Raw genomic sequence first — 16,857 nt, forward strand, 5'->3', positions numbered from 1 at the left:
TGGGTTCTGTGTGCAGAACTTCGGCCAGGTAGCAGACTTCATTCTTGGAGAACAGGTAGTTGAGTAGAACTGGAACTCCCTGTTTCTGTACCCCTGGAAGCTGTCTGACCTCCACCAGTGACACACCAAGGAGAAGGAGGAAGATACCTAAAATCCTGTATGCCTATGGACAGAGGGGTGAATTAAGCACAGTCCCAGATCTTAAGATGCTTGATCAGGTGAGAGGAGATAAGCATGTAGGTAATTATACAACAATGGAATAATGATATGATGCAGAGAGACTGGTGAGTGGAGTTCCAGCATGAGAGGATGGGCAGTTGGGTGCTCAGATAAAGATGACCCCTAAGCTGAATCTTAAAAGATAAGAAGGATCAGCTCTGACATAGCAGGGGGCAAAGGCCATGGAATCCTCTGAAATGCCCTCAGGTCTTTTAGCTGGAGCCCCATCTCTGTTTGGAGCAGACAGCAGTATGTCTTATATACACATACATTAAAAAAACATATGTTATGAGTTTTTTCATCAATCTGTATATTTTTTCTGAAAATTATGTTTTGATCTCAATATGTTCTTGAGATTTCTCTATATTGTTATATAGAGGTTGACTCCATTCCTGTTTAACTCCCATGAGCCTACTGATAAACATTTAGGTTTGACTAACATTTATTTAGCCATTACAAATAGTCCAGGAATGCATGCTCCCTTGTCTCCTTCTGTATACATGAGAGGGTTTTCAAAAGTAAACACCAAGTAGTGGAATTACCAGGTGCTATGGACTGAATGTTTACATCCCCAAAAAATTCATGTTGAAATTCTAACCCCCAATATGATGGTATTTGGAGAAGGAGCCTTTGGGAGGTAATTAGGTCTAAAACTATTTAGGTCATTATGGTGGCATCTATGATAATGGGATTGGTACCCTTATAAGAAACCAGAGAGCTTTCTCTGTCTCTCTGTCCCCAACCTGTGACAATACAGTAGGAAGGTGGCCATCTACAAGCCAGAAGGAGGGCTCTCACTAGAACCCAACCATGCTGACATGCTAACCACAGACTTCCCAGTTTCCAGGACCATGATAAATAAATGTCTGTTGTTTAAGCCACCCAGTCTATTGGCATTTTGTTATAGCAAACTGAGTAGCTTAAGACACTGGGGCGTGCACAGTGGTCGGAAATGTCCCAGTTTACATTTCCACAAGCACAACCTCACCAACGTGATATTGTCAAAATTTTTCATCCAATTTGTGCTTTGTAGGAGATTTTCACCATCCTCACTGGGCACAGGTAAGTCCCAAACATCTAAACTTCTCTTAAAAGGAGGGGAAGAAGAATTTATTCAGCTCCGGGCCCCTTCCTGCACACCTATTGCCTCTTAAAAACCTCCACAGAGATATTATGATTCCTACTTTGCAAGGAGAAAACCAAAGTTAAGGGAGGTGAAGTGACTTGCCTGAAGTTACACACCAGAAAGTTGTGGAACTAGGACTCAAAAGCAAGTGTTCATGCTGCTAATGTCTGTACTCTTGTTCACTGTGTTATGGACTCAACTAACATTTTTTGAGCTCTGATTATATACCTCACCCTGGAGATACAAAAATGAATTATGGGGCATTCTTAGCACACAGTAATGCTCAATAAAACTTTGTTGAATGAATATTGAATCAAGGAGCTCAAAGTTCACAGGAGACACACATGTAAAAGATATTTGCAATAGAATGGTGAAGCAGCATGAGAGAGGTACAGCAGTTGTTCCCCTTTACCCACAGTTTTGCTTTCTGCAGTTTCAGTTACCTGCAGTCAACTGTGACCCGAAACTATTAAAAACAGGCTGGGTGCAGTGGCTCACACCTGTAATCCCAACACTTTGGGAAGCCGAGACAGACGAATCACCTGAGGTCAGGAGTTCGAGACCAACCTGGCCAATGTGGTGAAACCCCATCTCTACTAAAAATACAAAAAAATTAGCTGGGCATGGTAGCACACACCTGTAGTCCCAGCCACTCAGGAGGCTGAGGCAGGAGAATCACTTGGACCTAGGAGGTGGAGGTTGCAGTGAGCCGAGATCACACCACTGCACTCCAGCCTGGGTGACAGAGTGAGACTCCATCTCAAAAAAAAAAAAAACAAAAACAAAACAAAACAAAACAAAACAAAACAAAAAAAAAAAAAATATATATATATATATATATATATAAAAGTAAGATATTTTGAGGGACAGAGAGAGAGACCATATTCACCTAACTTGTATTATAGTACATTGTTATAATTGTTCTATGTTATTATTGTTGTTGTTATCCCTTACTATGCCTAATTTATAAATTAAGCTTTATCATGGATATGAATGTATAGGGAAAAAAATCACATATATAGGGTTCAGTACGATCTGTGATTTCACACATCCACAGGGGGTCTTGGAACGTATTCCCCATAGATAAGGGGGAACTACTGTATGCTCCAGTGCAGCAGGCCACAGACAAGAAAAATGTTTAGTTTTAAGGGACAGATCAGGGAAGGCTTCACACTGGAGAAACTTTTTACCAAACACAAAAGGAGGAAATGGGTTCCAGGCAAAGAGGACAAATGCAAGGCACAGGAGTGTGAAGCAACATTGCATTTTCTGGGAATTATACTACTTTTGATTGCCATAAAGTTGCTTCCTTCCAGTTTGGAGCCAGAGCATCCAGTTCAATTTATTTCCATTCGCAGGGCCTTTGTTAAATGCCTGCGTGTGCTAGGCCCTGTGTGAGAAGCTTTACATGCATTATCTCATCGAATCCTTGCAGCTTTCCCCCATTATCCAGATGAGAACATTGAGGCTCAGAGAGGCCAAGAATTCAGCTCAGGAATATATTCACATTTTCTGTTCTTTCTACTCCCCACTGTTTTCGCAAGATACCAGGCTACTCCTTTCTCCGATCTTACTCCAAAGGAAAGATGTCCCTACTAGCAAACCTCAAAAGCCATGGCCAGGTGCCCGTTGGATCTGAAGATTATTTCTGCTCATTCCACTGTCTCTTTTCTTACCTGGAAAACTGGAGAGGAGAATGCATATAGAGTCACAAAGTTTTCAATCATTGGCTGGACACTAAATATCATCCCATTCATTCATTTAACAAATCTTTTTTGAGCACCAGCTATGTGCTAGGCAATGCTCTCAGTGCTGTAGACACAAAAGTGAATAAGAGGGACAAGACCCCTGTGGGTGTGGTGGAGCATGCCTATAATCCCAGCTGCTTGGGAGGCTGAGGTGGGAGGAGGATCACTTAAGCCCAAGAATTTTAGTTCAGCCTGGGCAACATAGTGAGACCTTGTGTCTCTTTAAAAAAAAAAAAAAAAAGGCTGGGCGTGGTGGCTCACACCTGTAATCCCAACACTTTGGGAAGCTGGGGCAGGCAGACTTGAGATCAGGAGTTGAAGACCAGCCTGACCACCAACATGGTGAAACCCTACCTCTACTTAAAAAATACAAAAATTAGCCGGGCATGGTGGCGGGCACCTGTAGTCCCAGCTACTCGGGAGGCTGAGGTAGGAGAGTCACTTGAACCCAGGAGGCGGAGGTTGCAGTGACCCAAGATTGCACCACTGCACGCCAGCCTGGGCAACAAAACAAGACTCCATCTCAAAAAAAAGAAAAGAAAAGAAAAGAAAAAAGAAAAAAAGACGGGCCGGGTACAGTGGCTCATGCCTGTAATCCCAGCACTTCAGGAGGCTGAGGTGGGCGGATCACCTGAAGTTGGGAGTTCGAGACCAGCCTGACCAACATGGAGAAACTCCATCTCTACTAAAAATATAAAATTAGCCAGGCACGGTGGCACATGCCTATAATCCCAGCTACTTGGGAGGCTGAGGCAGGAGAATCGCTTGAACCCAGAAGGCGGAGGTTGTGGTGAGCTGAGATCACACCTTTGCACGCCAGCCTGGGTAACAAGAGCAAAACTCCATCTCAAAAACAAAAAAAGGCTTCTGCAATGACTTCTAAGAGTTAGAAACAGGTTTTGAGAGGTTACGTGGCTTGCTCAAGGTCACAGCAATTTTGTTGCACAGGTGAGCTGAAACCCAAGCCTACCTAACTCCCAGTACAGGATGCTTTCTTCTCCCTGGCCATGGCCTTGCCATTGCTCTTATCTCCCTCCTGCTTTGCCTCTTCTCAGTCTCTGTCCAGTAGGATGAACTCAGAGAACCTCACCCGGGCCGCGGTTGCCCCTGCTGAATTCGTCCTCCTGGGCATCACAAATCGCTGGGACCTGCGTGTGGCCCTCTTCCTGACCTGCCTGCCTGTCTACCTGGTGAGCCTGCTGGGAAACATGGGCATGGCGCTGCTGATCCGCATGGATGCCCGGCTCCACACACCTATGTACTTCTTCCTGGCCAACCTCTCCCTGCTGGATGCCTGCTATTCCTCCGCCATCGGCCCCAAGATGCTAGTGGACCTGCTGCTGCCCCGAGCCACCATCCCTTACACAGCCTGTGCCCTCCAGATGTTTGTCTTTGCAGGTCTGGCTGATACTGAGTGTTGCTTGCTGGCAGCCATGGCCTATGACCGCTACGTGGCCATCAGAAACCCACTTCTCTATACAACAGCTATGTCGCAGCGTCTATGCCTGGCCTTGCTGGGAGCATCAGGCCTGGGTGGGGCAGTGAGTGCCTTTGTTCACACAACCCTCACCTTCCGCCTGAGCTTCTGCCGCTCCCGGAAGATCAATAGCTTCTTCTGCGATATCCCTCCACTGCTGGCCATCTCGTGCAGTGACACCAGTCTCAATGAACTCCTTCTCTTCGCCATCTGTGGCTTCATCCAGACAGCCACGGTGTTAGCTATCACGGTGTCTTATGGCTTCATCGCTGGGGCTGTGATCCACATGCGCTCGGTCGAGGGCAGTCGGCGAGCAGCCTCCACCGGTGGTTCCCACCTCACAGCCGTGGCCATGATGTACGGGACACTCATTTTCATGTACCTGCGCCCCAGCTCCAGCTATGCCCTGGACACTGACAAGATGGCCTCTGTGTTCTATACCCTGGTCATCCCGTCTCTCAACCCACTCATCTACAGCCTCCGCAATAAGGAGGTCAAGGAGGCCCTCAGGCAGACCTGGAGCCGATTCCACTGTCCAGGGCAGGGGTCCCAGTGATTGGTCCAGGGAGGCTGGGTAGGTCTGACTATGAGGGGATGAGGAAGGTCGGGGCCTCTTTCTGGCCCCGTCACTGTCGGTAAAGATGGGATGTTCCTCTGGCTTGGATGTCTCATGTCATTGTTTAAGGGACAGTAAAGAGGGAAATGAAAGCTTATAGCAGGGAGAAAAAGATTTGGGGTTCATCTAGGGCTAGACCTAGAGCCAGACGCTAGACCAGGCTAATGTTTCTGTTGCACTGCCTCAGGTTCTTCAACATTCAAAACATTCTTCAATATTCAGCTGGGTGCAGTGGCTCATGCCTGTAACCCCAGCACTTTGGGAGGCCAAGGCAGGAGTTCAAGACCAGCCTGGGCAACACAGGGAGACCCCCCCACCATCTCTACAAAAAAAAAAAATTGTTAAAAATAAGCTGGGCATGATGGCATACTATGCAGTCACAAAAAAGAAAGAGATGATATCCTTTTCAGGGACGTGGATGGCTCTGGAGACCATTTTCCTCAGCAAACTAACACAGGATCAGAAAACCAAACACCACAAGTTCTCACTTATAAGTGGGAGCTAAACAACGAGAACATGCGGACATATAGAGGGGAACAACACACACTGGGGCTTATCGGAGGGTGGAGGGTAGGACGAGAGAGAGAAGCAAAAAAAAAAAAAACTAATGGATATTAGGCTTAATATCTGGGTAATAAAATAATCTGTGCAACCAACCTCCACGACACACATTTACCTGTGTAACAAACCTGCACATCCTGCACATGTACTACCTCTGAACTTAAAAGTTAAAAATAATAATAATACCTGTAATCTCAGCACTTTGGGAGGCCAAGGCAGGCAGATCACGAGGTCAGGAGATCGAGACCATCCTGGCTAACAAGGTGAAACCCCGTCTCTACTAAAAATACAAAAAAAAAAAAAAAAGAATTAGCTGGGCGCAGTGGCAGACACCTGTAGTCCCAGCTACTCAGGAGGCTGAGGCAGGAGAATGGTGTGAACCCAGGAGGCAGAGCTTGCAGTGAGCCGAGATCACGCCACTGCACTCCAGCCTGGGCTACAGAGCAAGACTCCATCTCAAAATAATAATAATAATAATAATAAATTAGCCAGGCGTGGTGGTTCACGCCTGTAGTGCCAGCTACTGGGGAGGCTGCAGCAGGAGAATCACTTGAGCCCAGGAGGTCGAGGCTGACGTTGAGCTGTGATTGTGCCACTGCACTCCAGCCTGGGTAACAGAGCAAGACCTATCTCAAAATAGTAGTAATATAAAAGTTCCTAGATGTTACCAGGTAAAGGAATACAGGCTTATTTGCCACCTGTACTTACAAGAGGCTAATCCCCAGAAGCACCAAGTGAGAGCTATGTTAGTTCCAAGTGTTCCTAGATTCTTGACCTTTTAAGCTTCTTCATGGCCAGTGTGTCTGCGCCTGCCCTCCTCAGCCCAGGAGAACATCTTCAGGATCCACTTAGACCAAAGCATGGGACGGAATCTGAAGAGGGAAACATCTGTCCCCTATGGCCCATGTATTCCACGTCTCAGGAAAATGGCTTAATAGCTAGAACATGCACAAGTCACTTTTAAACTCCCAACAGCTGGATTTGAATTTGGCCAGGGTTAGACTAGTTCAGGCTTATGATAGAGGCTAGGAAAGGATTAGGATTGAATAGTTAGAATCGGGTTAAGATTAGGTCTCAGGCTATGGCTAAGGATGGGGTTCAGTTATGGTAGGTTAGGATTAGGGTTAGGGAGAATTAAGAAATGATCAGGCAAATTTATGATTGAATTACAATTATGTAAATTTTATAATTTGGGCTCGTTGTTATTAGTAGTATATTTGGGATAAATTTAAGGGTTTGGGCCAGGTGCGGTGGCTCACGCCTGTAATCCCAACACTTTGGGAGGCCGAGGCAGGCAGATCATCTGAGGTCAGGAGTTCAAGACCAGACTGAGCAACATGGTGAAACTCTGTCTCTACTAAAAATACGAAAAAAATTAGCCAGGCATGGTGGTGCATGCCTGTAATCCCAGCCACTCGGGAGGCTGAGGCAGGAGGATCACTTGAACCCAGGAGGCAGAGGTTGCAGTGAGCCAAAATCATGCCACTGCACTCCAGCCAGAGTGACAGAGCGAGACTCCACGTAAAAAAAATAAATAAATAAATAAATAAATAAATAAATAAATAAGAGTTTGGATAAATCTTGTTAGACATATTAGAATTATTTTAGGGTTAGTGTTAGAATGGGAAACTAAATAAGATTGGAGTTTGGATTTCATTTGTATTACTCAATTAAATTGGAGTTAGAGTTTAGTTCACATTAGACTTAAGTTGGTGTATGGGTAATGTTTGTGCTAAGTTTAAGTCACAGTCTGGTTATTACTACAGGTAAGCTGGGATCAGAACCAGATGAAATTTAGGCATAACAATATTTTAGGTATCAAATTGGCATGCTTGTGGTCACTTTAAGATTTAGTTGGGGTTATAAATAATGTTACTTAAAGCCTAAGGGTAGGGGTTGGTTGTTGGTGAATTTCAGTTTCATTCAGAGTGATGAGCATGCCTGGATTTGCATGTGGTTGGGTAGGATTAGTATCATGACTGTTTGGTGTTAAGATTCCAGCATTGAGGTAGGGTTGGAGTTGGAGAGGGAATGCCATAACCCTGACCTCTTGGGCAACAGTAACTACACTGCCCCAAGCCTTGAGTCATGGAGGACCTCCGAGACCCAGTGCTCTTGGGAGTTTTATTCACCCAGAGTTCACAATTTTGACAGATTTCTTTTGTCTCCATGACTCTTTTACACATAGGCAAGTCCTAAGGCACTGCATTCTGCCTGGGAAGCCTCTCTCTGCAGGAGCAGACAGGAGTAGACCCTGGGAGTTACAGGCAAGAGCCTCCAAGAAGAGGTGGAGCATGGCCAGATTTAAATGTCAGCTTCTACCTGATCCTCCCTCCAGTTCCCCTGATTATGGCTGAGGCAAGGCCAGGGTGGGAAAGGTATGGGACTCAAACAATGCTTCACCCAATAGGCTGCCCATGGAGTCTCTTCCTTGGGCCCTAGCCAGGGGCTGGCCTTGCCCCTCTACACTCTCCCTTCAAGGAGAAATCAACCACCTGGCGCCACTTAGACTGCAGGAAAACTGAAGGCTTCGACCTGGCTCCCTGGGAAGAAGATGCCCCTTGTTGCCAGGACCAAGACCCTCCCTCTTGGTAACTATGGCATTCTTGGAGTTCCCAGGCTAATAAAGAGAAGAATGTGGACAAGACCATCTCCTCAAATCTTAGAGAACTTTACAGGTTTCCTGACTCACTCCAGTTTTCCCAGAACAGTCCAGTTTTGAAACTCCAAGTCCCGGCTGGGAGCGGTGGCTCACACCTGTAATCCCAGTACTTTGGGAGGCCAAAGCGGGCGGATCACGAGGTCAGGAGATTGAGACCAGCCCGGCTATCACGGTGAAACCCCATCTCTACTAAAAATACAAAAAAAATTAGCCAGGCATGGTGGCGGGTGCCTGTAGTCTCAGCTACTCGGGAAGCTAAGGCAGGAGAATGGCTTGAACCCAAGAGGCGGAGCTTGCAGTGAGCTGAGATGGCGCCACCCACTGCACTCCAGCCTGGGCAACAGAGCAAGACTCTGTCTCAAAAAATAATAATAATAAAAAAATAAATAAAAAAACTCCAAGTCCCATGTCCCAAGACACCCTCAGTCCTGGGCAAATCGAGATAGTTGGTCACCCCATTTCCTGTTGAAGCAGCTCTTGAGAGAAAACTTACAATGTCCCAAATTCAGCACATTCTGAAAAGACTTAGATAAAATAAAACCCCTCCTCTCATCACAAGGCTCAACCATCCTCTCCCAGTTCCCCAACTCCTCTTGCCTCCTATCACCACAGCAAATCAGGTGCCACAACAAAAATCGGAGTCATTGTCAAAGGAGTTGGCAACCTGAGGACTGCAAATGTAAGGCTTGCCCCAAATTCAACATTTAGACTCAAAGATCTCCTCTATGGTCCTTTCTCTTTTTTGTGGGTTCTTAGGCTCTCATGACATACAGCAGCTGCCACAATCAGTGGAAAAGTTTCCAGACGGATAAGGCCCCTTCCATCACCTTGGCCCTACAGGATGGCCATGGCTCCTTCCACATATTTAGTATCCATGGAGCAGCCAGATACAATAATTACATAAATCCTAGAAATCAGCTGGAGGAAATACTAAGTTTCAAGCTATTATACTGGGCCTACTTGAGAGATAGGAAAACAAACAAGAGGGAAGGGGAAAGAATTGGGAAACACTAACAGAGCCCAACCTGGAGCATGAAGAGAGATAAATCACCCCTCCTGAAGTGAGATGCCCAGAAGAATGTGCCCAATTCTGATAAAGTATTTCCCTTCAACACCACTTCCTAAAGCAGGCAGTGAGGACAGGAAGCTGGGGAAGACTGGGGCACTCATTGCACAAAATAAGTTGGGCCCTGCAACATGGGTGGAAATTGAGGGGAAGAGGCAATTGTACCAGGGGGATGAGGGGCAAGTATATAGAAAGGCATGGAAGTAAAATAAGCTCAGCATGAGCAGAAGACTCTAAGGAGACCAATTTAACTGGCTTGAGGGGGTGTGCTGGGAAAGTAGAGGGAAGTTTAAAGATTGAAAATTAGGGAATGAGAAGAACACTCCATGGCTTCAATATTAAGTAGGAAATTTAGACTTTATTCAAGAGGCAATAGTAAATCATTGGAAGTTTATATATTCAGAATCATTCTTTCTGGTTATTCCAACAGTGTTATGTAAAGCTATTCCCACCTGGAATGGTACATACAGGTTCAGTTCCCTCATACTGCAGTACACACACAGAAACATATACCCCTTCAATAAAGGCCTAATCTCCTATTAGAAATATTCCTTGCTGGAAATAAGAGAGAACACAAACAAATGGAAAAACATTCCATGCTCATGGACAGAAAGAATCAATATTGTGAAAATGGCCATACTGCCCAAAGTAATTTATAGATTCAATGCTATTCCCATCAAGCTACCACTGACTTTCTCCACAGAATTGGAAAAAAATACTATAAATTTTATATGGAACCAAAAAAGAGCCCATATAGCCAAGACAATTCTAAGCAAAAAGAACAAAGCTGGAGGCATCACACTACTTGACTTCAAGCTATACTACAAGGCTACAGTAACCAAAACAGCATGGTACTGGTACCAAAACAGGATACAGACCAATGGAACAGAACAGAGACCTCAGAAATAACACCACACATCTACAACCATCTGATCTTCAACAAATCTGACAAAAACAAGCAATGGGGAAAGGATTCCCTATTCAATAAATGGTGCTGGGAGAACTGGCTAGCCATATGCAGAAAATTGAAACTGGACCCCTTCTTTACATCTTATACAAAAATTAACTGAAGATGGATTAAAGACTTAAATGTAAAACCCAAAACCATAAAAACCCTAGAAGAAAACCTAGGCAATACCATTCAGGACATAGGCATGGGCAAAGACTTCATTATTAAAACACCAAAAGCAATTGCAACAAAAGTCAAAATTGAGAAATGGGATCTAATCAAACTAAAGAGCTTCTGCACAGTAAAAGAAACTATCATCAGAGTGAACAGGCAGCCTACAAAATGGGAGAAAATTTTTGCAATCTACCCATCTGACAAAGGGCTAATATCCAGAATCTACAAGGAAATTAAACAAATTTACAAGAAAAAAACAAACAACCCCATCAAAAACTGGGCAAAGGATATGAACAGACACTTCTCAAAAGAAGAAATTTATGCAGCCAACAAACATATGAAAAAATGCTCATTATCACTCGTCATTACAGAAATGCAAATCAAAACCACAATGAGACACCATCTCACACCAGTTAGAATGGCGATCATTAAAAAGTCAGGAAACGGCTGGGCATGGTGGCTCATGCCTGTAATCCCTGACTTTGGGAGGCAAGGTGGGTGGATCATGAGGTCAGGAGTTCAAGACCAGCCTGGCCAAGATGGTGAAACCCCATCTCTACTAAAAATACAAAAATTAGCCAGGCATAGTGGTGGGGGCCTGTAATCCCAGCTACTCGGGAGGCTGAGGCAGAGAATTGCTTGAACCCGGGAGGTGGAGGTTGCAGTGAGCCAAGATCATGCCACTGCACTCCAGCCTGGGTGACAGAGTGAGACTCCATCTCAAAAAAAAAAAAAAAAAGTCAGGAAACAACAGGTGCTGGCGAGGCTGTGGAGAAATAGGAACACTTTTACACTGTTGGAGGGAATGTAAATTAATTCAACCATTGTGGAAATCGGTGTGGCGATTCCTCAAGGATCTAGAACCAGAAATACCATTTGACCCAGCAATCCCATTACTGGGTATATACCCAAAGGATTATAAATCATTCTACTATAAAGACACATGCACAAATATGTTTATTGCAGCACTATTTACAATAGCAAAGACTTGGAACCAACCCAAATGCCCATCAATGATAGACTGGATAAAGAAAATGTGGCATATATACGCCATGGAATAGTATGCAGCCATAAAAAAGGATGAGTTCATGTCCTGTGCAGGGACATGGATGAAGTTGGAAGCCATCATTCTCAGCAAACTAACTCAAGAACAGAAAACTAAACACCACATGTTCTCACTCATAAGTGGGAGTTGAACAATGAGAACACATGGACACAGGGAGGGGAACATCACACACCAGGGCCTGTCAGGGGTTGGGGGGTAGGAGAGGGATAGCATTAGGAGAAATATCTAATGTAGATGACAGGTTGAGAGGTGCAGCAAACCGCCGTGGCACATATATACCTGCGTAACAAACCTGCACATTCTGCACATATATCCCAGAACTTAAAGTAAAATTTTTTAAAAAAAGAAACATTCCTTGTTAAAAAAAACACTCTCATAGGTCCAGCCACCCACACAGACACAGATGCAGCTGCACACTGAGACACACATCCAAGCTCATGGACAAATGGAGTTGCACAGAGACACAATCACTCCCACAAACACAGCTCTACAAATTGAGATTGTTGATAATAGTTGTGATTGCCACAGTCACCAGGGGCACAATTCCTCCCATACTCCACACATCCTACAAGAAGCCACCATGAGGTGACAGTGACAGGTGAGCTGAGAGGAGGGTTGGCTCCAGAAGCTACAGCTGTAAACCCTGGGATCCCCAGGTCACTCTACTTGGGGCTCAGAGGTCAGCCTGACCCTTCTCTCTTATCTTCACAAGGCAGGGGCTGAGGAGCAGCAGCTTTGCAGTACACAGGGCTCCTGAATGTCCCGAGTTGGAGGTGGCACCAGTCACCTCCTCCATCAAACTGGTCCCTAGAGAGGAAGGATAACAAGCCCCACAGCCAGGCTGCCTTGTGCCCCAGGGATGAAGGCCACAAGAAGAGGTTGTTGCCTCTGGGGAAAAGCTAAGGTGCTCTCAGGGCTGTAAACCCCATAAGCATGGCCAATCATTCCTTCCTCAGACCCTCCAGTGTCAAGCCACTCCTGGGCCCTGCTGCTGTTCCTATGATGTGCAGAACCCAGAGGGTACACCTGGGGACAAGGGGCCAGGCTGCAGAGTGTGCAGATCTGTCTTCCTGTGTGTGACTGTGTGCATGAGTCATATGTGTGAGTATAAGAGTATGTGCTGTTTGCGAGGCTGTGATTATTACCAGCACTGCACAATCGTTTCATTGTAGGGGGTAGGAGGCAGTGTGTATGTGCATATGCCCCTCTAGCATGGCACATCTCTGCCATGATCCACCATGAACCTACGTGAGTGCAGCCGTGTATGTGAAGGTGTGAGGCTGTGTGCAAAGATGTGATTGTATGATCACTGAGGGGATTGGGTGTGGCTGGGCATGCATGGATGGGCACTGGGCAGAGTGCTCACACACAGTAAGCAGTCAATGAGAACATGAATGTGCATGATGGGTCACAGCAGCTGTGCATGGCGCTATGTCTCCATCAAGAGGAGTATGTGAATGATTGTCACCCTCTGGCCTTAGTGCCATTTTGTGATTGCATTTGGCCATGTGTGTATGTGTATGACGATCTTGGCTTCTGAATCCTGAGGTAATGGTTGTCTGCCTACTTTGCTGTGAATGCATGTGCTGGCTCCACATTTCTGTATATGACTGATTGTGCCTATGTATTTGCAGAGACCAGCTTGAGGATGCACATGTCTGCGTGCCTGCATGTGCGTTTCCAACTACATTTGAATGTTTCTACAAACATCTTTGTATATTTGAACGCTTCTTGGGACCAATTTAGACACAGGTCAGAGCAGGTCCATTTTCCAAAAGCAATTCTATAAACAGGTTTCCCCTTCCATCCTACCCAATCATCCTGATCCTCTTCCCCTCCAGGAAAGTGAGAAAGAATTAGGGGCTTAAGAAAAGATGCTTTAGAGGAAGCTAACGCCAGAGATTCTTCTTAACCAATGGAGGAAAAAAGGAATACGATAGGGTAGGGAGGTCCTTCATTGATTTTTTTTTAATAGAGAAAGATGTGGAAATAAATTAAAAGATCATTTCCCTGTAAAGGTGGTTTCAGCACAGTCTTCAGCAAACCTGTGCCCTAAAATTCCTCTCAGTTACTTCAATTCTCTTCTTACAGAATTGCCCAAGATTTCTGCAATGAAATTCAGACAGGAAAAAAACTGAGACATTGAAAACAAGTTGCCTCTCTCCTTAAGAGTCAAGTCGCTATGCCTGGGCAGATGTGTCCATCTGTCCACAGGAGTTTCTCACCCTGTGATGTGCATCTGCTTGGTGCTCAGTAAGTGTTTGATTTCATGGGGAAAGTTTTCAGGGATATGAGGAGTCATTCAGATTCTCTTGTTCTTTTTTTGTGTGTGTGTGAGATGGAGTCTCACTGTGCCACCCAGGCTGGAGTGCAGTGGCACGATCTTGGCTCACTGCAACCTCTGCCTCCTGGGTTCAAGATATTCTCCTGCCCCAGCCTCCCAAGTAGCTGGGATTACAGGCACGTGACACCACACCTGGCTAATTTTTGTATTTTTTTTTTTAGTAGAGATGGGGTTTCACCACATTGGCCAGGCTGGTCTCAAACTCCTGACCTCAGGTGATCCTCCTACCTTGGCCTCCCAAAGTGCTGGGATTACAGGCACGAGCCACTGCACCCGGCCTTGTTTTGTGTTTTAAGTCTGAAAATATCTGTATTCTTTACTCACACTTGAGTAGTATTTTTGCTGAGTGAAGAATTCCAAGTTCGAAATGCTTTTTTTCAGAATTTGAATATTGTTAAACTGTTCTATAATCTACTGTTGAATTGAAACATTTGATGGCAATCTAATTACATGGATATCATCAGTTCATTGCACCCCATGCCCTTAGGAAGTACTGGAGTCTCCTCTTCATTTCCAGTGTTCTAAAATTCCACTATTTGTGTCTAGGTGTTGTGAGTTCATATTCATTTCAATGTAAACATATGTGCTCTTCAGATTTTTTTTCTAGAGTTTCTTTCTTATGTTTCTCTCCTCCATCTTGGTTTGGTTTCATTTTTTCTTTTCCAAAATAAATGTCCATTGGCCAGATCTTTCTGTGTCGAACCTCACTCTGTTTCATCTTTTCTTTCATATTTTCCTCCTTCCCTGATCTACATCTTGTGCAATATCTTTTGTTCTATTTTTGCTTAAATCACAAACTATCAAAGTTGGACGTGACCTTGCAGATGAGTTACTTCAATTCTCTTATTTCGCAGGTTGAAAGTCTAAGGCCCCACAAGGTCAGGAGATCGAGAACATCCTGGCTAACACGGTGAAACCCCGTCTCTACTAAAAAATACAAAAAAAATTAGCCGGGCGTGATGGCGGGCGCCTGTAGTCCCAGCTACTCGGGAGGCTGAGGCAGGAGAATGGCGTGAACCCAGGAGGTGGAGCTTGCAGTGAGCTGAGATCGTGCCACTGCACTCCAGCCTGGGCGACAGAGCAAGACTCCATCTCAAAAAAAAAAAAAAAAAAAGAAAAGAAAATCTAAGGCCCAGAAAGGAAGAAGGTTCAGGGAGGTGAAATGACTTGCCCATAGTCATACCTGTGCCTAGGGCCAGGGCTACCTGACTCTAAACTCTTGATATTTTCCCATGGCCAGGAAGCCTTGAACAATTTATCCCCTCACCTTTTCCGTTAGACATCGGGGAGGTGACCCATCAATAGAAAGGAGCCCTTCAGGTTCCAGGCGAATAACCAGCCTGCCATGGAGGCTGCCAATGAGTCTTCAGAGGGAATCTCATTCGTTTTATTGGGACTGACAACAAGTCCTGGACAGCAGCGGCCTCTCTTTGTGCTGTTCTTGCTCTTGTATGTGGCCAGCCTCCTGGGTAATGGACTCATTGTGGCTGCCATCCAGGCCAGTCCAGCCCTTCATGCACCCATGTACTTCCTGCTGGCCCACCTGTCCTTTGCTGACCTCTGCTTCGCCTCCGTCACTGTGCCCAAGATGTTGGCCAACTTGTTGGCCCATGACCACTCCATCTCGCTGGCTGGCTGCCTGACCCAAATGTACTTCTTCTTTGCCCTGGGGGTAACTGATAGCTGTCTTCTGGCGGCCATGGCCTATGACTGCTACGTGGCCATCCGGCACCCCCTCCCCTATGCCACGAGGATGTCCCGGGCCATGTGCGCAGCCCTGGTGGGAATGGCATGGCTGGTGTCCCACGTCCACTCCCTCCTGTATATCCTGCTCATGGCTCGCTTGTCCTTCTGTGCTTCCCACCAAGTGCCCCACTTCTTCTGTGACCACCAGCCTCTCTTAAGGCTCTCGTGCTCTGACACCCACCACATCCAGCTGCTCATCTTCACCGAGGGCGCCGCAGTGGTGGTCACTCCCTTCCTGCTCATCCTCGCCTCCTATGGGGCCATCGCAGCTGCCGTGCTCCAGCTGCCCTCAGCCTCTGGGAGGCTCCGGGCTGTGTCCACCTGTGGCTCCCACCTGGCTGTGGTGAGCCTCTTCTATGGGACAGTCATTGCAGTCTACTTCCAGGCCACATCCCGACGCGAGGCAGAGTGGGGCCGTGTGGCCACTGTCATGTACACTGTAGTCACCCCCATGCTGAACCCCATCATCTACAGCCTCTGGAATCGCGATGTACAGGGGGCACTCCGAGCCCTTCTCATTGGGCGAAGGATCTCAGCTAGTGACTCCTGAGGGCAGGACCCCACTGAGGACAGACTGCATCACCCACACTGGCAACTGTTGAACGTGACCCTCTGTCCTCTGCTATGCTCAAAAATCATAACAGCTGTCATTTCCTGAGCACCTGCCCGGAAGCAGATCCTTGCCTGATCTCATTTTATTCCCACAGCCACCCAGGATGCAGATATTATGATCCGGTTTTACACACAAGAAAATTTGTCTTTAGGCTCAAAGATAAGAAGTGACTTTCCAGCCAGGCACAGCGGCTCACGCCTGTAATCCCAGCACTTTGAGAAGCCGAGGTGGTGGATCACCTGAGGTCGAGAGTTCAAGATCAGCCTGGCCAACATGGCGAAACCCTGTCTCTATTACAAATACCAAAATTAGCCAAGCATGGCGGCGCACAACTGTAATCCCATCTACTCGGGAGACTGAGGCAAGAGAATCACTTGAACCCAAAAGATGAAGATTGAAGTGAGCTAAGATTGTGCCACTGAGCTCCAGCCTGGGCAACAGAGCAAGACTCCATCTCAAAAAAAAAAGAAGTGACTTTCTCAAATTCACA

The 16,857-nt window shown here is 46.0% G+C and overlaps 2 protein-coding genes across 2 annotated transcripts; both read left to right on the forward strand.

The window, feature by feature from the left end:
* Positions 1-4,163: 4,163 nt before the first annotated feature.
* Positions 4,164-5,126, forward strand: OR5C1 (olfactory receptor family 5 subfamily C member 1). The gene has a single exon (NM_001001923.1). The coding sequence runs from the start codon at positions 4,164-4,166 to the stop codon at positions 5,124-5,126; it is 963 nt and encodes a 320-aa protein (NP_001001923.1).
* Positions 5,127-15,353: 10,227 nt separating this feature from the next.
* Positions 15,354-16,304, forward strand: OR1K1 (olfactory receptor family 1 subfamily K member 1). The gene has a single exon (NM_080859.1). The coding sequence runs from the start codon at positions 15,354-15,356 to the stop codon at positions 16,302-16,304; it is 951 nt and encodes a 316-aa protein (NP_543135.1).
* The last annotated feature ends 553 nt before the right edge of the window (positions 16,305-16,857 follow it).

The sequence above is a fragment of the Homo sapiens genome, chromosome 9 (genome assembly GCF_000001405.40).
Source record: "Homo sapiens chromosome 9, GRCh38.p14 Primary Assembly".
NCBI classification, from domain to species: domain Eukaryota; kingdom Metazoa; phylum Chordata; class Mammalia; order Primates; family Hominidae; genus Homo; species Homo sapiens.